Here is a 22960-nt window from a genome sequence, read left to right on the forward strand (position 1 = left end):
TACAACTTCATGTGAACGTTCTCTGAATTAACAATCAGTCACCTCTCTGTTTTTAGTGTCTGGCTTGGTTCAGGGAAGATGCGCTCTGGTCAGCCCAGCTGGAGACTCTGGAGGTCCCTCGCCTTGTCTGGGATGTGTCCTCTCTGGGCTTTGCTTGTTACCTCCTCACTGAAGGGGGTGACCAGGTTCTGCTGAGGAGTGTCCCTTTCTGCACCTGCTCTTCAGCCTGTGTGGGGCAATAGGAAGCTGGGGTCTGCACTGTCACCTGGTGTCTGCCTGCATTACTGCTGGCTCTGGTTTATACTGGTGCCTTTGTTCTCAGTGGCTTCCTGACCTGGGGCCCTGTTACTTCAATGCTTATGTTCAGACAAGACAGAAACTTGTCCCTTAGGCAGTTCCCTGAAAAGTCAGAAGGTTGGATAGACATTCCCATTGTTTTCCTCTCTCAGGAGATATCTGGAGTTTGTGGTATCCTCTGGATGATGGCATGTCATGCCTGGGCAGGGGTTCTGGTGGGCGTGTGTCACATTTTCACACTCAGCTCCCAGTAGGTTGACTTGGTACTGGTGCATCTCTGGGTGCAGCCTCCTGAGTGGCTTCTGGATTTCTCACAAAAGTCAGTTGGCCCACGTATTCTTGTTTAATTTGTGTCCACATGGATTCAAAATGGTCCGGGGCTTCCTATTCCTCTGTCTTGCTGACATTACTCTTTTAGTAGAGTTGCAGATTTCTAACACAGGTCTGGAATGTCTTCTAGTTAGGGGCCATTTCCTAAGGGAGATGTCAGATGTTTCTTTCCTGTATGTGTCATTTTATAAATAATGCTGCTAAAGAAGGAAATTTTTTTCAATATATTTTTTTCTTTTTTTTAAATTTATTTTCTTCTTTTAATTCATTTTTCTTTCTTTCTTTTTGAGACAGAGTCTTGCTCTGTCACCCAGGCTGGGGTGCCGTGGCAGGATCTCAGCTCACTGCAACTTCTGTCTTCTGGGTTCAAGCAATTCTCATGCCTCAGCCTCACAAGTAGCTGAGATTACAGGCACCCACCACCATGCCCAGCTAATTTTTTGTATTTTTAGTAGAGATGGGGTTTCACCATGTTGGCCAGGCTGGTCTCGAACTCCTGACCTCAAGTGATCCGCCTGCGTTGGCCTCCCAAAATGCTGGGATTACAGGCATGATCCCAGCACTGCACCAGGCTAATATATTCTTATTAGTTAATATGTTAAAATGACATTCTTTGTCTTGGTTAAAATAATTTTGTTAATTATATACATTTTTAAATCCAGCTTTTTCCTGCCTCCAACCCCAACTAATTTTTTTTTTTTTAACCTCTCTTTCTGGCCCCTGCCCAGGCATCCTGTGCAGTGGTGATTGGCTGCAGCACAGACCAGCCCCCTTTTCCCTGCCTTAAAGTCAAGGAAATGTCTGCCATGTTTACTGCTGATTATCATGTTTCATGAGACGTTCTTGCTTAATGATATGGTTGTTTTTGTTTTCAAATTTTATTTTTGTCCTTGTTTTTAATTATCTAGTAATTTCTTAAGATGTATACTGCTAGCCGGTCATGGTGGCTCATGCCTGTAATCCCAGCACTTTGGGAGGCCGAGGCGGGTGGATCACGAGGTCAGGAGATCGAGACCATCCTGGCTAACACAGTGAAACCCTGTCTCTACTAAAAATACAAAAAAAAAAATTAGCCGGGCATGGTGGCGGGCACCTGTAGTCCCAGCTACTTGGGAGGCTGAGGCAGGAGAATGGCGTGAACCCGGGAGGCAGAGCTTACAGTGAGCCAAGATCACGCCACTGGACTCCAGCCTGGGTGACAGAGCGAGATTCCGCCTCAAAAAAAAAAAAAAAAAAAAAAGATGTATACTGCTGAGATATTTTCTGTGACTTATTTTGTTGAATTATTATATCATATTAATAAATTTTCTGTCATGTATTAATGTTTTATTAATGGAATATATTGATAAACCCCATTGGGCTTTTGTAAATACCAAATAGATAAATTTTATGGACATAATTATTATATTTATGTAAGTCAGGGTTGATCACATGTGTGTAGAATCCCAGCTTCTTGGGAAGCTGAGGCAGGAGCATCCCTTGAATGCAGGAGTTTGAGACCACCCTAGGCAACATACTGAAACCCCATCTCAATTTTTTAAAATATTATATATAATCATATTTTTTATATCAATAAAGATGGGATCTTTCTATGTTGCCCAGGCTGTTCTCAAACCCCTGTCCTCAAGCAGACCTCCCACCTTGGCCTCCCAAAGTGCTGGGATTACAGGTGGAGCCACCATGCCCAGCCTACATTTATATTTTTGAATCTGGGTATTTAATAGAGATTGGAGTTCAACTTTCTGTGTTTTTTCATGGTCTATCATTTTTTAATGGCTTAATATACAGCAATGTTTATAAACTCAATTGAGTACAATTTATACATTTTTGTTGTAAACATGCTGAAATGTACATAGCAAAAATAACAATGACAGGTGGGTGCAGTGGTACAAACCTTTAGTTCCAGATACTTGGGAGGCTGAGGAGGGAGAAACATTTGAGCCCCAGGAGTTCAAGGCCATAGTACACTGTGAATAAGCCACCTCCATGCAACCTGGACAACATAGTGAGACCCTGTCTCTAAAAATTAAAAAAAAAAGTGATGACAAATGTCATCTAAAAAATAGGTTATTGACAGACAACTCCTATTTCAGTTGATGTGTATAAGTGTATATGTGTGCTAGTGTATATGGGTCTAAGTGTACATATATATAAGTGTGGACCGTGATGCGTGTTCATGACTGCACAGATGAGCAAGCCTATGGTTTTATTAAAGACATGTCATCATTTTTATGTATTTTTTTAACAGTTGAAATTACATCTGAAATATTTTCCATGACCTCGGAAATTGTCGTACACCATCATGTTAATGAGTTGATGGCTGTGAATAGTAACATGGGATACATGTGTGTACTCATATATAATTTTTTTTTTTTTTTTGACAGAGTCTCTGTTTGTCACCAGGCTGGAGTGCAGTGGCGCGATATTGGCTCACTGCAATCTCGGCTCACTGCAATCTCTGCCTCCCAGGTTCAAGTGATTCTCCTGCCTCAGCCTCCTGAGTAGCTGGGATTAAAGGCACGTGCCACCATGCCCAGCTACTTTTTGTATTTTTTAGTAGAGACTGGGCTTCACCACGTTGGTCAGGCTGGTCTTGATCCCCTGACCTTGTGATCCACCCGCCTTGACCTCCCAAAGTGCTGGGATTACAGGCATGAGCCACCATGCCCAGCCATAATGACCTTTTATGAAGGTCCATGATTTTATCCCTAAACTTGTTTTAACTTTTTTCTTAGGTAATTGTCAATTTACTTTTGATGCTGATCTGTTCATTGTTTGATTCTTTTGGTTTGGTTCTAATGCCCGGACGCCTGGGATCTGGTGCTTACTTTGCTGTTTTTAGTCCTTACACCTGGGGCGAGTTTCTTAGGGTATCTGTGACACAGTTGTCTTCTCAGTAAGACAGGGACAGGTCTTTCTTTCATGGGCTTTTGTTGTTATAGGAGTTAGTACATGTAAAGCATTTAGAATAGTGCCTGTCACATGGAAAGTGTTCAAAAGCTTCAGTCATTGCTATTGTTATCATCCCAGTTTTATAATTCTTTTTTTTTTTGAGACAGAGTCTCACTCTGTAGCCCAGGCTGTAGTGCAGTGGTGTGATGTTGGCTCATCGCAGCTTCTGCCTCCTGGGTTTAAGCAATTCTCTTGCCTCAGCCTCCTGAGTAACTGGGATTACAGGCACCCACCAGTACCCCCAGCTGATTTTTGTATTTTTAGTAGAGGTGGGGTTTCACCATGTTGGCCAGGATGGTCTTGAACTCCTGACCTCAAGTGATCTGCCCTCCTCGGCCTCCCAAAATGGTGGGATTACAGGCGTGAGCCACCGCGCCCAGCCTATAATTCTTTCTCTTTTTTTTTTTTTTTTTGTGAGATGAAGTCTCACTCTTTTCCCCCAGGATGGACTACAGTGGTGCAATCTCAGCTCACTGCAACCTCTGCCTTCCTGGTTCAAGTGATTCTTCTGCCTCAGCCTCCTGAGTAGCTGGGATTAACAGGTGCATACCACCACGCCCAGCTAATTTTTGTATTTTAATTAGAGACGGGGTTTCACCATGTTGGCCAGACTGGTCTCTAACTCCTGACCTCAGGTCATCTGCCCACCTCAGCCTCCCAAAGTCCTGGGATTACAGGCGTGAGCCACCATGCCTGGCCTATAATTCTTTTTTTTTTTTGAAGCCACTGTGGACATTGTCATCTCCAAAGACACCACTTGTCTTGTAGTGGTGGTGATATTGGTAGGTATTCAGATCAGGTAGATACTGAATATGACTTGGAGTGTCAAAAATAATAGCTAATGCTTCTATAGAGATAACCATGGGTTAATTTTTTATTTGCATTTCTTATATGTCCACAAAATGAGAAATCTATTTTGATTTTTAAAATATAACTTCTTTTGGAAAAGTATAATAAAACACAATTCACAGGCCAGGGTGGTGGCTCACACCTGTAATCCCAGCACTTAGGGAGGCTGAGATGTGTGGACAAGAGTTCAAGACCAGCCTGGCCAACGTGGTGAAATTCCATCTCTACTGAAAATACAAAAATTAGCCAGGTGTGATGGTGTGCACCTGTAGTCCCAGCTACTTGGGAGGCTGAGGCACAAGAATTGATTGAACCCAGGAGGCGGAGGTTGCAGTGAGCCGAGATTGCACCACTGCACTCCAGCCTGGGCAACAGAGTAAGACTCTGTCTCAAAAAAAAGAAAAAAAACACATTTACAGACACATAACTACATCACAGATACCTTAATGGGGATTCGTCAGAACATTCTCTTCAATCCAGTTAATCTTTACAACTCCCTTCTCATTTTGAGTGAAGATTAATACCCTTTACATATCCTGTTGGTGAAATGTGGTTTTCATTTTAGGGACACTTAACATTCAGGGACGTGGCCATAGAATTCTCTCAGGCGGAGTGGAAATGCCTGGACCCTGCACAGAGGGCTTTATACAAGGATGTGATGTTGGAGAACTACAGGAACCTGGTCTCCCTGGGTGAGGATCATGCCCCTGCAGAAGCCGGGATCTGCCCTTGGTTATTTCAGCATTTTCCCTTGTGTGCCTCCTGGGAGCCCCTGCATTGTTTGACTGACATTAAGCAGGAGAATCACTTGAACCTGGGAGGCAGAGGTTTTGGTGAGCCGAGATCACGTCATTGCCAGCCTGCCAACAGAGTGAAACTCCGTCCCAAAAAAAAAAAAAAAAAAAAAAAAACCAAAAAAACCCTTATTGACTCAGGCTGGGATCCGTGGCTCACACCTGTAATCCCAGCACTTTGGGAGGCCAAGGCAGGAGGATCACTTGAGGTCAGGAGTTTGAGACCAGCCTGGCCAACATGGTGAAACCCCATCTCTACTAAAAATACAAAAATTAGCCGGGCATGGTGGTGGGAGCCTGTAATCCCAGCTACTTGGAAGGCTGAGTCAGGAGAATCTCTTGAACCCGGGAGGTGAAGGTTGCAGTGAGCCGAGAATGCACCATTGCACTCCAGCCTGGGTAACAAGAGTGAAACTCCGTCTCATTAAAAAAACAAACAAACAAACAAAAAACTAAAAACCTTGTTGACTCAGAAATGAAAAGCTCCATAGTGTTTTCTGGAGTTGAAATGTCCTTTTTCTTCAGATGTTCTGTCCCCTTCATTATACATCATTGGGTGGTACCAGGGCGGAAGTATGCATAAAACCTTTTTTGTTTGTTTTTGAGATTGAGTCTTGCTCTGTTGCCCTGGCTGGAGGGCACGTGATCTTGGCTTACTGCAGCCTCTGCCTCCCAGGCTTAAGCAATTCGCCTTAGCCTCCCTAGTAACTGGGATTACAGGCACGTGCCACCACACCTGGCTAATTTTTCTATATTTCATTTTTACAATGTTGGCCAGGCTGGTCTCAAAGTCCTGGGCTCAAGCAATCCACTTGCCTCAGCCTCCCGAAGTGCTGGGATTACAGGCATGAGCCCCCGCACCCAGCTGCATAAAACCTTATGGCAAACTTTTCAGATACCCACTTCCCTGTTTTCTACTCCTGTGCTTTGTTTTATGTTTTGTTTTTTTTTTTTGAGACAGAGTGTTTCACTCTTGGAGGCTGGAGTGCAATGGCGCGATCTTGGCTCACTGCAACCTCCGCCTCCTGGGGTCAAATGATTCTCCTGCCTTAACTGCTCGAGTAGCTGGGATTAGAGGCATGTGCCACCATGCTTGGCTAATTTTTTTTTTGTATTTTTAGTAGAGACCGAGTTTCTCTGTGTTGGTCAGGCTGATCTCGAACTCCCGACCTCAGGTGATCCACCCGTCTCGGCCTCCCAAAGTGCTGGGATTACAGGTGTGAGCCACCACGCCCAGCCTCTACTCCTGTGCTTTATACTCAGTAGTTCTTGGAAAGGGGCTTGATGTCTGCATGTTATAATATTCCCTAAGCATTCAGAAGGAGGCAGTCTATGGATGAATTTGTGAAATATTATTCTTGATTCATTTGTGATATCCTGTCTCCTTCCTACACATAGGGCTTGGATTTTGGAGATGCTACAGCACATTTTGATTTTTTTTTTTACAAACAGGAATCTCTCTTCCTGACCTGAATATTAACTCCATGTTGGAGCAAAGGAGGGAGCCCTGGTCTGGTGAGAGTGAAGTGAAAATAGCAAAAAATTCAGATGGGAGGGAGTGCATCAAAGGTGTGAACACAGGTAAGAGCTCAGATGGGCATGGTGGAAGCCATGCTGTTGTTTGGGCTTTTTTTTTGTTTTGTTTTGTCTAGTTTTGGTTTTTTATGTTTGTATTTTTGTTTGTTTTGTTTTTGAGATGGAGTTTCACTGTCATGAAACAGAGCCTGAGAGACAGAGCGAGACTCAGTTTCAAATAAATAAATAATTTTTTTGTTTATTTGACTGGAGATCTTTCTTTCTCTCTCTCTCTTTCTCTTTCTTTCTTTCTTTCTTTCTTTCTTCCTTTCTTCCTTTCCTTTATTTGAGATGGAATTTTGCTCTATTGCCCGGGCTGAAGTGCAGTGGCGCTATCTCAGTTCATTGCAACCTCTGCCTCCCGGGTTCAAGGGATTCTGCTACCTCAGCCTTCCAGGTATCTATGATTATGGTCACCTGCACCATGCCTGGCTAATTTTTGTTTGTATTTTCAGTTAAGACAGGGTTTCACTATGTTGGCCAGGCTGGTCTCGAACTCCTGACCTTAAGTGATCTATCTGCCTCTGCCTCCCAAAGTGCTAGAATTACAGGCATGAGCTACCGCGCCCAGCTTCTTTTTGTTTTTCAGATACAGGGGTCTTGCTATGTTGATTTTGAACCCCTAGGCTTAAGCAATCCTCCTGCCTCAGCCTCCATAAGTACTCTGATTACCGGCATGAGCCATGATGCCTAGTCTTATTTTTTTATTTCGAATTTAGATTTAATTGATTTACCAGGAATATTTAACTAATTCCCCCGACAATTTCACTGTCTCCCCTCCCGCTTTCTTGTCTGTTTGTGTGAATTTCAGTATTTTGGATACTCAAATGGAATCACACAGTATTTGTCTTTTTATGACTGGCTTATCTCACTTAGCGTAGTGTCTTTCAGGTTCATCTATTTTGTAGCACATCAAGAAATTTGTATATTCTTTTAGGACTGAATAATATTCTTCTATTTGTCTGTACCACAGTTTGTTTAACTATTCATCCATTGGTGGACACCTGCATTGCGCCCACCTTTTTATTATTTTTGAATAATGCTGCTATGAACATGGGTTTTTGTTGTTGTTGTTTTTTGAGACAGTGTCTCACTGTCTCGCCCAGGCTGAAGTGCAGTGGCGTGATCTTGGCTCACTGCAACCTCCACCCTCTGGGTTCAAGCGATTCTCCTGCCTCAGCCTCCCAAACAGCTAGGACTACAGGTGCACACCACCATACCCAGCTAGTTTTTGTATTTTTAGTAGAGACAGGGTTTCACCATATTGGCCAGGCTCGTCTTGAACTCCTGACCTCATGATCTACCTGCCTCAGCCTCCCAAAGTGCTGGGATTATAGGCGTGAGCTATCGTGCCTGGCCTTGACCATGGGTTTTTAAGTATCTCTTCAAGATGCTGTGTTTACTTTCATTTTATTTTTCATTTGTTTGTTTGAGATGGAGTTTCGCTTTTGTTGCCCAGGCTGGAGTGCAATGGTGCAATCTCGGCTAACTGCAACCTCCACCTCCTGGGTTCAAGCAGTTCTCCTGCCTCAGCCTCCTGAGCAGCTGGGATTACAGGTGTGTGCCACCACGCCCAGCTAATTTTTGTATTATTAGTAGAGACAGGGTTTCACCATGTTGACTAGGCTGGTCTCGAACTCCTCACCTCAGGTGATCTGCCTGCCTAGGCCTCCCAAAGTAGTAACATTAAGGGTGTGAGCCAGTGCGCCTGGCCTTTTTCTTTTTTATCTTTATACCCAGATGTGGAATTGTTGCCTATACTGATCATTTGATTTTGGATTCTTTGAGAAAATGTCATACTTGTTTCCATAGTGACTGCACCATTTCAATTTTCCACCAACAGTGGCACAAAATTCTCCTATTTCTCCATATTTTCGACAACACTTGTGATTTTCTGGTGTTTCATTTTTTTCCCTTTTCTTGACAAAACGTATTCTATATGGGTGTGAGGTGATATTCTTTATTGGTGTGAGGAAAAATATTCAGTTTTCTATTTGCATTTCTCTCTAATGATTTGTGATATTTTGCATTTTCTTATATGGTCGTATATCACCTTTGGAAAAATGTGTATTTCTTTCCACATTTCTTAATTCGTTATTTGTTTTGCTTTGTAGGACTTATTTATATATTTTTATTTTATTATTTTAAATAATTATTTATTTATTTTTTGAGACGGAGTCTTGCTCTGTCACCCAGGCTGGATGCAGTGGCGTGATCTCGGCTCACTGGTACCTGCGCCTCCCAGGTTCAAGCAATTCTCCCACCTCAGCCTCCCAAGTAGTTGGGATTACAGGTGCACACCACCATGCCTGGCTAAATTTTTGTATCTTTAATAGAGATGGGGTTTCACTATGTTGGCCAGGCTGGTCTTGAACTCCTGACCTCAGGTGATCTACCTGCTGCAGCCTCTCAAAGTGCTGGGATTACAGGCATGAGCCACCACATCCGGCCTATATATATTTTAGATATTAAGTTTTTATCACAGATATGATATGCAAATATTTTCTCACATATGGTAGGTTTTCTTTACATTGTGGTAATTGTTTTCTTCTATCCACAATAGTTCTCAATTTTGTCATAGTGCATCGTGTGTATATTTACCTTCTTTCCTGTACTATCAATTTTATATCTGGGGAAATGTTGAATCCAATCTCATGAAGCTTTTTACCTATGGTTTTTTCTAGGAGTTTTATCGTTTTAGGTCATGAATAGACTTTAAGTTAATTTTTGCATGGGGTGTAAAGTAAGGGTTCAGCCTCATTCCTTTGCTTGTGGGCATCCTTTTTCTTCAGCACTATTTGATGAAGTGACTGTCCTTTCCTTGTTACATGGTCTTGACATTTTGATTGAACATTATTCTACCAAGTATTTGAGGGTTTGTTTCTGGCTTCTCTATTCTTGCTTTTTTTTTCATTTTTGCATGGGGGGATGGATTCTCGCTCTGTCATCCAAGCTGGAGTGCAGCAGTGAGATCTTGGCTCACTGCAACCTCTGCCTCCTGGGTTCAAGTGATTCTCCTGCCTCAGCCTCCCGAGTAGCTGGGATTACAGGCATGTGCCACCATGCCTGGCTAATTTTTGTATTTTTAGTAGAGATGGGGTTTCACCACGTTAGTCAGTCTGGTCTCAAACTCCTGACCTCAAGCAATCTGCCCGCCTCGGCCTCCCAGAACCCTGAGATTACAGGTGTGAGCCACCACACCTGGGTCATTTTTTACTTTAATGGAGAATTTTATCCTCTCATTTGGGTTACCAGTACTGTCTGGAATCCTTTTATTTCATTTTGAAGGGCTCCCTGTAGCATTTCTTGTTGGACAGGTCTAGAGTAGTAATGAACTTTCTTAGCTCTTCTTTATCGAGGAAAATCTAAATTTCTCCTTTATTTTTGCAGGTGACTTTTGCTAAATATAGTATTCTTGGTTGATTTTAAGCACTTTCAATATGTCATCTCACTGCCTTCTGGCAGGCAAAGTTTCCGCTGGAGAAAGTACATAGTCTTATACCTTTTCCTCTAAATGGCAAATATCTTTTTTGTTGCTCCTGTCAAAATTCTTCCTCTGTCTTTGATGTTTGATAATTTGCTTATAATGTATCTCTGTGTGAATGTCCTTGGGTTCATTTTAATTTGAATGGTCAAGCTTCTTGAATTGTATATTCAGGTCTTTCTTCAGAATTGGGATTTGGACAATTATTTGGACATTATTTCTTCAGTTGCAATTTCTGATCCTCTGTCTTCTCCTTGTGAACCTCTAATAATTTGTATGTTGTTGTGCTTGAGAGCATCCGAAAAATGTATTAGCGTTTATTTGCTTTTCTTCTCTGTTTTTTGTTTTTGGTCTTTGTAGCTGATACTGTGTTTTTTTTTTTTTTTTTTTTTTTTAAATTAGAGTCTTGCTCTGTAGCCCAGGCTGGAGTGTAATGGCTCCATCTTGGCTCACTGCAATCTCTGCCTCCCAGGTTCAAGCGATTCTCCTGCCACAGCCTCCTGAGTAGCTGGGATTACAGGTGCATGCCCCCATGTCCATCTAATTTTTGTATTTTTAGTAGAGACAGGCTTTCACCATGTTGGTCAGGCTGGTCTCAAACTCCTGACCTAGTGATCCTCCTGCCTTGGCCTCCCAAAGTGCTGGGATTACAAGCGTGAGCCACTGTGCCTGGTGGAGCTGATACTTTTGAATAACTGACCTTTAAGTTTGCTCATTCTTTTTGGTGCTCTATCCATCTGCTGTTGAGCACCTAATGAATTTTTACTTTATTTATTGTGTTTCAGCTCCAGAATGTTTTTTGTTTCCTCCTTTGTTTAATATCCTCCTTCTCATGTATTGTTTTTCTGATTTCATTTAGTTGTCTATCTCTCCTTGATATCTTTTAGCTCATTAAGAATCTTAAGGCAGTTGCTTTAAATATTTGTCAAGGGCCAGGTGCAGTGCCTCATGCCTGTAATCCCAACACTTTGGGAGGCCAAGGCAGGAGGATCACTTGAGCCAAGGAGTTCGAGACCAGTCTAGGCAATATCACGAGCCCTTGTCTCTAAAAGAACACAGAAAAAACTTGCTGAGGCTGGATGTGGTGGCTCACGCCTGTAATCCCAGCACTTTCGGAGGCTGAGGTGGCCGGATCATGGTCAGGAGTTCCAGACCAGCCTGGCCAACATGGTAAAACCCCATCTCCACTAAAAATACAAAAATTAGCTGAGCATGTTGGCCGGCACCTGTAGTCCCAGTTACTCGGGAGGCTGAGGCAGGATAATTGCTTGAACCTGGAGGTGGAGGTTGCAGTGAGCTGAGATTGCATCATTGTACTCCAGCCTGGGCAACAAGAGCAAAACTCCATCTTAAAAACAAACAAAAGAAATAACAAAAAACCCCAAAACTTGCTGAATGTGGTGGTGCATGCCTGTAGACCCAGCTACTCAGGAGGCTGAAGCAGGAGAGATCGCTTGAGCTGGGGAAGTAGATGCTGCAGTGAGCTACACTATACCACTGCACTCCAGCCTGGACGATAGAGTGAGACCCTGTCTTAAATAAATAAATAAATAAATATTTGTCTAGTAATTTAGAGAGCTGCCTGTCTTTTTCTAGGTTTGGCTTTATTTATTTTTTAGCCATATTTCTCTTTCCTTTCATAGGCCTTGTAATTTTTGGATTAGGTTTGGTAAAATAACTGCTTCTCTCAGTTGTTTTGTATAAGACTTGGTCAGAGGGAGATCTTTTCTAATTAGCCTGTTGTAAAGGGTGTGGGAACACTCACTCCTTTTCTGGGGATGTGCCTTTCCTAGCTTTGTGCATGTACTGTTATTATGTATACTGCTTCTCTTGAGTGTCTTATTTTCCCTAGAGACTTGTCCCTTCTTTTTCTCAGAAGGTTTCAATTCCTGTTCTATCTCTCTACTCATAATCCCTCTCAAACTCACCTGTAATCCTCCTGACTCCTACAGATTTCCCAGAACTCCAGTGCATCACCTTACCCTTTTCTATTTTCAGCACAACCAGCGTGATGTACAAAGTGTGCTGATATTTCTTCCAATGTCTGAGTCAGATGAGGCAGATTCTAGTATTTTCATCAGACTCTAAACATGCCAGAATTATGGGGTCTGAATTTTACTTTTTTCTTGCTTTCCTAGGGAGCAGCTATGCATTGGGAAGCAATGCAGAAGACAAACCAATTAAAAAACAACTTGGAGTATCCTTTCACTTACATCTGTCTGAACTGGAGCTATTTCCAGATGAAAGGGTAATAAATGGATGTAATCAAGTTGAAAACTTTATCAACCACAGTTCCTCTGTTTCCTGTCTTCAAGAAATGTCTTCCAGTGTCAAAACCCCCATTTTTAATAGGAATGATTTTGATGATTCTTCATTTCTCCCACAAGAACAGAAAGTACACCTTAGAGAAAAACCTTATGAATGTAATGAGCATAGCAAAGTCTTTAGAGTATCTTCCAGCCTTACTAAACATCAAGTAATCCATACTGTAGAGAAACCTTACAAATGTAATTCATGCGGCAAGGTCTTTAGTCGCAATTCACACCTTGCAGAACATTGTAGAATTCATACTGGAGAGAAACCTTACAAATGTAATGTCTGTGGCAAGGTTTTTAGTTACAATTCAAACTTTGCACGACATCAAAGAATTCATACCAGAGAGAAGCCGTATGAATGTAATGAATGTGGTAAAGTCTTCAGTAATAATTCTTACCTTGCACGACATCAAAGAATTCATGCTGAAGAGAAACCTTACAAATGTAATGAATGTGGTAAAGGCTTCAGTCATAAGTCATCTCTAGCAAATCATTGGAGAATTTATACTGGAGAGAAGCCTTACAAATGTGATGAATGTGGCAAGGCCTTCTATAGGATTGCGCTCCTTGTACGACATCAGAAAATTCATACTGGAGAGAAACCTTACAAATGTAATGAATGTGGAAAGGTCTTTATTCAAAATTCGCACCTAGCACAACATTGGAGAATTCATACAGGAGAGAAACCTTACAAATGTAATGAATGTGGAAAAGTATTTAATCAACTTTCAAATCTTGCACGACATCGAAGAATTCATACTGGAGAGAAGCCTTACAAATGTAATGAATGTGGTAAAGCATTTAGTGAGTATTCAGGCCTTTCAGCCCATCTTGTAATCCACACTGGAGAGAAGCCTTACAAATGTAGTGAATGTGGCAAGGCATTCAGACACAAGTTATCACTAACCAATCATCAGAGAATCCATACTGGAGAAAGACCTTACAAATGTAATGAATGTGGCAAGGTCTTCAATCGAATTGCACACCTTGCACGACATCGGAAAATTCATACTGGAGAGAAACCTTACAAATGTAATGAGTGTGGCAAGGCCTTTAGTCGCATTTCATACCTAGCACAACATTGGACAATTCATATGGGATAGAAACTACAAATGCAACAAATGCGTCAAAGAATTTAGTGTGCACTCAAGCCTTACTACCCATCTTTTATTCCATACTGCAAAGAAATTTTGCAAATGTAAAGAATATGACAAGGTCTTCAAACACAAGTTTTTCTAATAACTCATTAGAGAATTTATACTGGAGAGACTTCACAATTATAATAAATGTGTGGAAAAGTCTTCAAAAAAATTTCACACCTTGCAAAAGGAGATCTAAAAAACACAATCAGAAATGACAAAGGGGACATTACCACCAACCCCACAGAAATACGAAAAACCCTCAAAGATTACTATAAACACCTGTATGCACACAAACTAGAAAACCTAGAAAAAATTAATAAATTCCTTGAAAGATATAACCCCCCAAGATTGAACCAAGAAGAAATTGCATCCCTGAACAGACCAATAATGAGTTCCAAAATTTAATCACTAATTAAAAATCTATCAAACAAAACTCTGGACCAGACAGATTTATAGTTGAAGCCTACGAGATGTATAAAGAAAAGCTGTTACCAATCTTACTGAAACTGTTCAAAAACATGGATGCAGAGGGACTCCTCCCTATCTGATTCTATGAGGCCAGCATCATTCTAATACCAAAACCTGACAGGCACAATGAAAAAAGAAAACTTCAGGCTGGTACTCCTGACGAATATAGGTGCCAAAATCCTCAGCAAAATACTAGTAAACCAAATCCATCTGCACATCAAAAAGCTAATCCAACATTATCAAGCAGGCTTTAGTGTTGGGCTGCAAGGTTGGTTCAGTATACACAAATCAATAAATGTGATTTATCACATACACAGAACTAAAAACAAAAACCACATGACCATGATCATCTCTTTAGATGCAGAAAGGTTTTTAATAAAATTCAACATCCCTTCATTTTAAAAACCCTCAACAAATTACACATTGAGGGAACATACTTCAATAAGAACCATCTATGCTGGACTCACAGCCAAATTAATACTGAACAAGCAAAAGCTGGAAGCATTCCCCTTGAGAACTGGAAAATGACAGGGATGACCACTCTCACCACTCCGATTCAACATAGTACTGGAAGTCCTAAGCTTAGTGATCAGGCAAGATAAAGATATGAAAGGCATATATAAATAGGAAGAGGGGAAGTCAGTTTCTCTTGCAGAAGATATAATTCTGTATTTAGAAAACCTGTTGTCTCTGCCCAAAGGCTCCTAGATCTGATAAACAACTTCAAAAAAGTTTCAGGATACAAAATCTGTGTACAAAAATTAGTTGCATTTCTATACACCAGTAATGTCCAAGCTATGAACCAAATCAAGAATGGAATCCCATTCACAGTAGCCACAAAAAGTATAAAATACCTAGGAATACAGCCAACCAGGTAAGTGAAAGATTTCTACAATGAGAATTACAAAGCAGTGCACAAAGAAATCAGAAACAATAAAAATTGAAAAATATCTCATGCTCATGGATAGGAAGAATCAGTATTGTTAAAATACTGCCCAAAGCAATTTACAGAGCCAATGCTATTTCTATCAAACTACCAATGGCATTTTTCACAGAATCAGAAGAAAACATTCTGAAATTTATTTGGAACCAGAAAAGCCCAACCTAAATAGCAAAAGCAATCCTAAGCAAAAAGAGCAATGTTTGAGGTATCACACTACCCAACTTTAAACCATACTACAAGGCTACAGCAACTAAAACAGCATGGTACTGGTATAAAAAAAGACACATAGATCAATGGAATAGGTAAGAGAACCCAGAAATAAAGGCATATACCTACAACCATGTGATCCTCAACAAAACTGACAAGCAATGAAGTAAGAACTTCATTCAATAAGTGGTGCTGGCATAACTGGCTAGCCATATGCAGGATATTGAAACTGGACCCCTATCCTTCACGATATACAAAAATCAACTCAAGATGGATTAAAGACTTAAATATAAAACCTAAAAGTATTAAATTCCTAGAAGAAAACCCAGGAAATGCCATTCTGGACATAAGTGCTGGAAAAGACTTAATGATGAACACCCCAAAGCAATTGCAACAAAAACAAAAATTGACAAGTGGGACCTAATTAAACTAAATAACTTCTGCACAGCAAAAGAAGCTATTTGCAGACTACAGAATGGGAGAAAATGTTTACAAACTGCATCTGACAAAGATCTAATCCAGAATCTATAAAGAACTCAAACAAATCAACAATGAGAAAAACAACCCCATTAAAAACTGGGCAAAGGCCATGAATAGACCTTTCTCAAAAGAATACATACATGTGGCAATAAGCATATGAAAAAAATGGTTAATATCGCTAATCATTAAGGAAATGCAATCAAAGCCACAATGAGATACCATCTCAGACCTGTCTGAATGGGTATTATCAGAATGGGTATTATTAAAAAATCAAAACATAGATGCTAGTGAGGCTGCAGAGAAAAGCAAATACTTATACACTGCTGGTGGGAATGTAAATTAATTCAGCCATTGTGGAAAGCACTGCAGCGATTTCTCAAAGACATAAAAGAACATAGCATTCAACCCAGCATCCCATTACTGGGTGTATACCTAAAGGAATATAATCATTCCACCATAAAGACAAACACTTGTATGTTCATTGCAGCACTATTCTCAATAGCAAAGATGTGGAATCAACGTAAATGCCCATCAGCAGTAGACCAGATAAAGAAAATTTGGTACATATACACCATGGAATACTATGCAGCCATAAAAAAGAACAAGACTGTGTCCTTTACAGCAACATAGATGGAGCTGAGGCTCTTATCCTAAGTGAATTAATGCAGGAACAGAAAATGAAATATCCCATGTTCTCACTTATAAGTGGGAGCTAAACATTGATTACACATGGACTCAAAGAAGGGAACAGTAGACACGGGCTTATGGGTGGAGGTTGGGAAGAGGATGAAGATTGAATAACTGCCTGTTGGGTACTATGCTGATTACCTGGGGACAAAATTAACTGTACACCAAACTCCTGCAACATGCAGTTGACCCATGTACACATACTCCTTGAACCTAAAATAAAACATGAAAAAAAGCAAATTTCACACCTTGTAAAACATCAAGGAATTTATATTGCAAAGAAACCTTACAAATGTATGTAGCAAAGCATTTAGTGTGCCTTCAAGTCTTAATATTCATCAGGTAATCTGTAATGCAGAGAAACCTTACAGTTGTAATGGATATGGGGCTGGGCATAGTGGCTCACTCCTGTAATCCCAGCACATTGGGAGACCAAGGTAGGTGGATCACCTGAGGTCAGGAGCTCAAGACCAGCCTGGCCACCATGGTGAAAACCTGTCTCTACTAAAAATACAAAAATCAGTTGGGCATGGTGGCATGCACCTGTAATCCCAGCTACTCAGGAGGCTGAGGCAGGAGAATCACTTGAACCTGGGAGGCAGAGGCTGCAGTGAGTAGAGATGAAGCCACTGCACTCCAATCTGGGCGACAGAGTGAGACTCTGTCTCAAAAAACAAACAAAAAAGATGTGGCAAGGTCTTTACTCAGAATTCAAACCTTGCAAATCATCACAGAATCCATGCTGGAGAGCAACCTTACAAATGCAACATGCGTGGTAAGGTCTTTAATCAGAATTCACACCTTCCACAGCATCAGATAATTCATTCACGAGAGTCCTTATAGAGTATGGAAAACTCTTCATTATGAGTTCTTATATTAATCAGCGCCAGAGTGTCGTACTAGAGAGAAATCATATAAATGTATGTGACACAGGCTTTATCCAGCCCCACCAAGTCACTGGACGTCAACACATACATCTTTGAGGAAACCATAGGCTGGGCGCAGTGGCTCACACTTGTAATCCCAGCACTTTGGGAGGCCAAGGTGGGCGGATCACTTGAGGTCAGGAGTTCAAGACCAACCTGGCCAACATGGTGAAACCCCATCTCTACTAAAAACACAAAAATTAGCTGGGCATGGTGGAATGCACCTGCAATCCTAGCTACTGGGGAGGCTGAGGCAGGATAATCACTTGAACCCAGGAGGTGGAAGTTGCAGTGAGCTGAGATTGGGCCATTGCACTCCAGCCTGGGAAACAGAGTGGGACTCTGTCTCGGGAAAAAACAAAACAAAACCATAAAGATGGATTGTGGATTGTGGATGCAAAGGGTATTAATCAAGGACCATAACTATTGAACATGAGAGCACTGAGCATTTACAGAAGAAATAACTCAGTCTCTAGTACTTCCGTATTAATATATGACATAGCATGTTGCAGAAAAATTACAAGCCAAAAGATACCAAGCCTCATGATGCAAGGGTATGTGGAAATTGCGATTTTTATTCAGGTTATTAAAATATTTAATTCCTTGGGAGTTTTGGAAAGGCTACTTTACTCTTTATGACTTTCAGCCTAAACTTAAAACTCTCATTATGTGCTTTTCCTACAGGCCTTTCACTGTGGTCTCTGGGAAAGAATCAACAGCATGACAGGGCTGATTTTATTAGCTGGGGAGCATTTCTATCCAGTTTCCTGGAAGAAGGACATTGCCTTTTCAGGTTAAATATTGTTTGATTTAGACAGCATGGAGGTGAGCAGAGAATAACAAAACTATGTATCAGTCATCCTACTTACTGTGTTCAGCAAACCTTTTTCCTGACAGGCACAGTGCTATAAACCTGTACAGCAGGTTACACTACTGAATACTGTAGGCAATTGTAGTAAAATGGAAAGTATTTCTGTGTCTAAACATAGAAAAGTTACCATAAGAATACCATATGAGGCCGAGCGTGGTGGCTAATGCCTATAATCCCAGCACTTTTGGAGGCTGAGGTGGGCAGATCACCTGAGGTTGGGAGTTCAAGACCAGCCTGACCAACGTGGAGAAACCCTGTCTCTGCTAAAAGTACAAAATTAGCCAGGCATGGTGGTGCCTGCCTGTAATCCCAGCTACTCGGGAGGCTGAGGCAGGAGAATTGCTTGAACCTGGGAGGTGGAGGCTGTGGTGAGCCAAGATCACCCCACATTAAATACCATATAAAAGAAACAAAGTGCACCTATATAGGGCACTTACCATGAGTGGAGCTTCCAGAACTGGAAGTTACTCTGGGTGAGACAGTGAGGAGTAGTGAGTGAATGTAGAGGCCTAGGACACACTCCACACTACTGTAGGCTTTAGAAACACTGTACACAGCTGGGCACGGTGGCTCACGCCTGTAATCCCAACTCTTTGGGAGGCCGAGATGGCTGGATCACAAGGTCAGGAGTTTGAGACCAGCCTGACCAACATGGTGAAACCTTGTGAACACTAAGATTACAAAAAAATTAGCCGGGTGTGGCGGCGCATGCCTGTTATCTCAGATATTCAGGAGGCTGAGGTGAGAGAATCACTTGAATCCAGAAGGCGGAGGTTGCAGTGAGCCAAGATCATGACATTGCACTCCAGCCTGGGTGACCGAGCAAGACTCCATCTCAAAAAAAAGAAAAGAAAAAAAAAAACAAAACACTGTACACTTAGGCTATACTAAATTTATTTTTTAAAAATAAAGTAATTGTGCTGTGATGTTACCATGGCTGCAGTGTCACTAGGCATTAGGGATTTTTCAGCTCCATTGTAATCTTATGGTACCACCATTGTATATGTGGTCAGTAGTTGACCAAAACATCATTATGTGATGCATGACTACTTATTTTCACTGATGTCCTTTGCCATTTTAAAGTGATGGAGGTCTTTGTACCATAATATGTTAGGCTAAGTAATGGGTTTCTGAAACATGTTAAGAGACAAAATACTGTAAGACTGAAGTTAAATTATTACTGATTACATATCATATAATGGATTAATAATGAAGGAATATTTAATTTAGGAATAATGTAATTATTGAAATTGACTGGGCTGGGGGCAGTGGCTCACACCTGTAATCCCAGTACTTTGGGAGGCCGAGGCAGGCAGATTATGAGGTCAGGAGTTCAAGACCAGCCTGACCAACATGGTGAAACCCCATCTCTACTAAAAATACAAAAAAATTAGCTAGGTGTGTTGGTGGGTGCCTGTAATCCCAGCTACTCAGGAGGCTGAGGCAAGAGAATCACTTGAACCCAGGAGACAGAGGTTGCAGTGAGTCAAGATCACGCCACTGCACTCCAGCCTCAGTGACAGAGTGAGACTCCATCTCAAAAAAAAAAAAAAAAATGAGGAAAAGACAAACACTAAAAGTGGCATCTAGATTTTTTTTTTTAAGATGGGGTCTTTCTCTGTGGTCCAGGCTGGAGTACAGTGGCGTGAACACAATCCATTGTTGCTTCAGCCTCCCAGACTCCCAAGTAGCAGGGACCACAGCCGTGCACCACCATACCTGGCTAATATTTATTTATTTAGTAGAGACAGAGTGTTGCTATGTTGCCAGGCTGGTTTAGAACTCCTGGGCTCAAGGGAGCCTCCGACCTTGGTCTCCCAAAATGCTGGGATTGCAGGCATGAGCCACCATCCACCAGATTTTTTTTTTCTTTTCTTTTTAACAGAGAACTATCACAAGATACATCTGAACCTGCAAACTGCCAATTCCCAGATTTTTTTCATCTGAAACTCATCATAATGCTAACTTTTCTACAAACAGATATTGCCTAAGGCCAAGAGGGATAATAGTTTCACTATAATCAGCAGACCTCAGATATTTTCTGTGGATAGTACTGTATCCATGAAGCATATGATATGCCCACCTTTCAGAAAAAAAATAAGTTATTTATATTGCAGCCATTGCCTCTCAGACATTCAGTTTTTTGATATAATTGTCACATAGTTATATTTATTCATCATGACATGAAAAGAGGCTCTATACTGACACCTCTATTATCCTGAAAATCATGTTTGTAATTTTTGTAGGCTGGATAAACTTCACAACTACAATTGCAGTGTGATTTAAATATCAGATAATAGTATAGAATAAAACATCAACCATCACCACAAGTGTGGATTACATTAAATTACTGTCAGAGGTATTAGGGATTTGTATAGACGGGAGGACCAAGTGCTCCAGATTATTTCAGCAACTCATTGGGATGTAGCTCTGGACTAGTTTAAAATTTTTTTTTTTTTTTTTTTGAGATGGAGTCTCACTCTGTCACCCAGGCTGGAGTGCAGTGGCGTGATCTCAACTCACTGCAACCTCCACCTCCTGGGTTCAAGTGATTCTCCTGCCTCAGCCTCCCAAGTAGCTGGGACTACAGGCACACGCCACCACACCCAGCTAATTTTTGTATTTTTAATAGAGATGGGGTTTCACAATGTTTGCCAGGATGGTCTCGATCTTGACCTTGTGATCCACCTGCCTCGGCCTCCCAAAGTGCTAGGATTACAGGTGTGAGCCGTCACACCCAGCTGGACCCGTTTTTATGAAGAATTTTCTGACATAAGCACTTCTCCAGATTCCTGAAGGCCTCCTTACCTTCACAGATGCGCCTCTCAGAACAAAATAGAAAATACTCACCAGACTCTTTTCTGCTCCCAGGATGGTGGGCTCAGTGTGAAGGTTATAACAGCCAGTATATCTGTGAGAGGGAGACAGCCAGGCCCTGAGATAAAGGTTTGTGATTCTGCGACCTCACCTCCCCGAAGAACCACAGTTATTAGTTTACCTTTAGCAAAATTGCAGTGCATGCTAGGAAAGTCAAAAATATTTTTTCTAATAATTTGTTTCCATTCTCAATTACCAGAAACAATTACAGTGTCTAGTGAGCATCTCCAAAGAGACTAATGCAGTATTTAGAAGAGGCTTTTTTATTTCCATGGACCCTGGAAGCAGACAGGGGCTCAGGTGGAGAGTGCAGGACACGCTGAGGTCTGAGCCATGAGGGACTCTCAGCAAATTGTACACCTCACGCGACCTTCTGCTTCCTTGAGTTCTGCTCAAAATCTAACTTTTTCCTGACTCTGAGAACCATATGCTTCCAGACCCCTTCTAGATTATGGGAAGGCAAATGGGATACCATGAAGAGACCAAGAAGGATCTATTAATGCACTAAGAGTGAAATGAAGAATGTGATGTCAATAATTGATAGTCTGAAACATTAAATGGCACTTTCTGATATACATGAATGATTAAATAAATAATTGGGAGATAAGAGACCCAACTCCTATGCAGAAAAATTCCAAATAACTCTTGTAGACACTCCACCTCCAAGGAGGTGGAATACACATAACTCCCAACTCCACAAATGCAGGCTGCACAGTGCTGCTTCCTTTTAAACAATACAATATGGCAGGGAGAGAATGTGAGGATTTTTATAGCTGAGAAACCTGACAGACACAGCCTCAGACAGGTGATCAAGGTTGACATCCAAAGGGGATTAAGTAATGTTAATAGTATACACCTTTGATAGGATGTGATAAAAATGGCACTTCTCATTGGTTTTTCTCCCCAGTATACTTAACCTTTGTCTAATCATGGAAAACATCAGACAAATCCCAATAGAGTGGCAGTCCCCAATAACACATTGACAGCCCTGCTACCTAACCAGTACTCCTCAAAGCTGACCAGGTTATAAAAAACAAGAGTCTGAGAATCTGTTAGAGCCAAGGGGAGCCTAAAGACACATAATGGTTAAATCTAATGTGGTGGCCTGGACAGGATCCTGGCAGAGAAAAGGTCAGGGAGCCGAAGGCCTGTGGGACGTGACCAACTCAGCATTCCTCTGGAGGCTATATGATCAAACAGCAAACTGTTTATCAAGAATGCAGGATATGGGCAAACTCACACTTCCCTGCCACCAAAAGGTTTGCTGAGGGACATGTCTCCCTTGCACCGGGCTCCTTGAAGTTATCTAATGAGAAATCTAGCACCTATTATTCAAAGGATGCAGTCTTGCAAGCCTGCTGTGAACCAAACGGCTGACTGACAATTACCTGACAATCACCCTGCCTTTCTCGCTCTCTCTTTTGCCTAATAAATATGGAGGGCTGTGTAAAGCTCAGAGCCCTTGTCCACTAGAGGCAAATATACTCTCTTGTCTTTTATTTCCACATTTGCCCCCTTTGTTCAATCCCCCTAGGTCCATGTGGGTTACAAGTGGCGCCTGAACAGGGACAGAATTGGGTGCTTTATAAGTGGCATCACGAAGTGGCACCCTGAACAGCGACAGTGGCATCCAAACTCGGGACTATGAGGACATAAACGAAGAAGGTCTGCTGGAGCAGAGGAACTGAAATTGACAAGGTGAACAAGGACCCCGGGACGAGTCTGCCGGCAGCGGATATAAGGTCAGTGCCCTAAAGAGGTAC

The 22960-nt window shown here is 41.6% G+C and overlaps 2 protein-coding genes across 4 annotated transcripts in view; both read left to right on the forward strand.

Annotated features, from left to right (window-relative positions):
- ZNF480 (zinc finger protein 480) overlaps nucleotides 1-16763 on the forward strand; it is a 28754-nt gene extending 11991 nt beyond the window's left edge. The window contains exons 3-5 of one of the 3 annotated variants that reach the window (NM_144684.4): nucleotides 4994-5120; nucleotides 6675-6803; nucleotides 12420-16763. In NM_144684.4, coding sequence (NP_653285.2) covers nucleotides 4994-5120; nucleotides 6675-6803; nucleotides 12420-13699 — 1536 coding nt within the window. In that variant the 3' untranslated portion in view covers nucleotides 13700-16763. The remainder of the gene's footprint in view (nucleotides 1-4993; nucleotides 5121-6674; nucleotides 6804-12419) is intronic. The other 2 variants (NM_001297624.2, NM_001297625.2) reach the window with 2 other exon arrangements.
- A 4298-nt stretch (nucleotides 16764-21061) lies between these two features.
- The window catches only part of ZNF610 (zinc finger protein 610), a 37558-nt gene continuing 35659 nt past the window's right edge, over nucleotides 21062-22960 (forward strand). The window contains exon 1 of the mRNA XM_047438286.1: nucleotides 21062-22939. The gene's annotated coding sequence lies outside the window, so the exon portion shown is untranslated. The remainder of the gene's footprint in view (nucleotides 22940-22960) is intronic.

Source organism: Homo sapiens, chromosome 19, assembly GCF_000001405.40.
Source record: "Homo sapiens chromosome 19, GRCh38.p14 Primary Assembly".
NCBI lineage: Eukaryota > Metazoa > Chordata > Mammalia > Primates > Hominidae > Homo > Homo sapiens.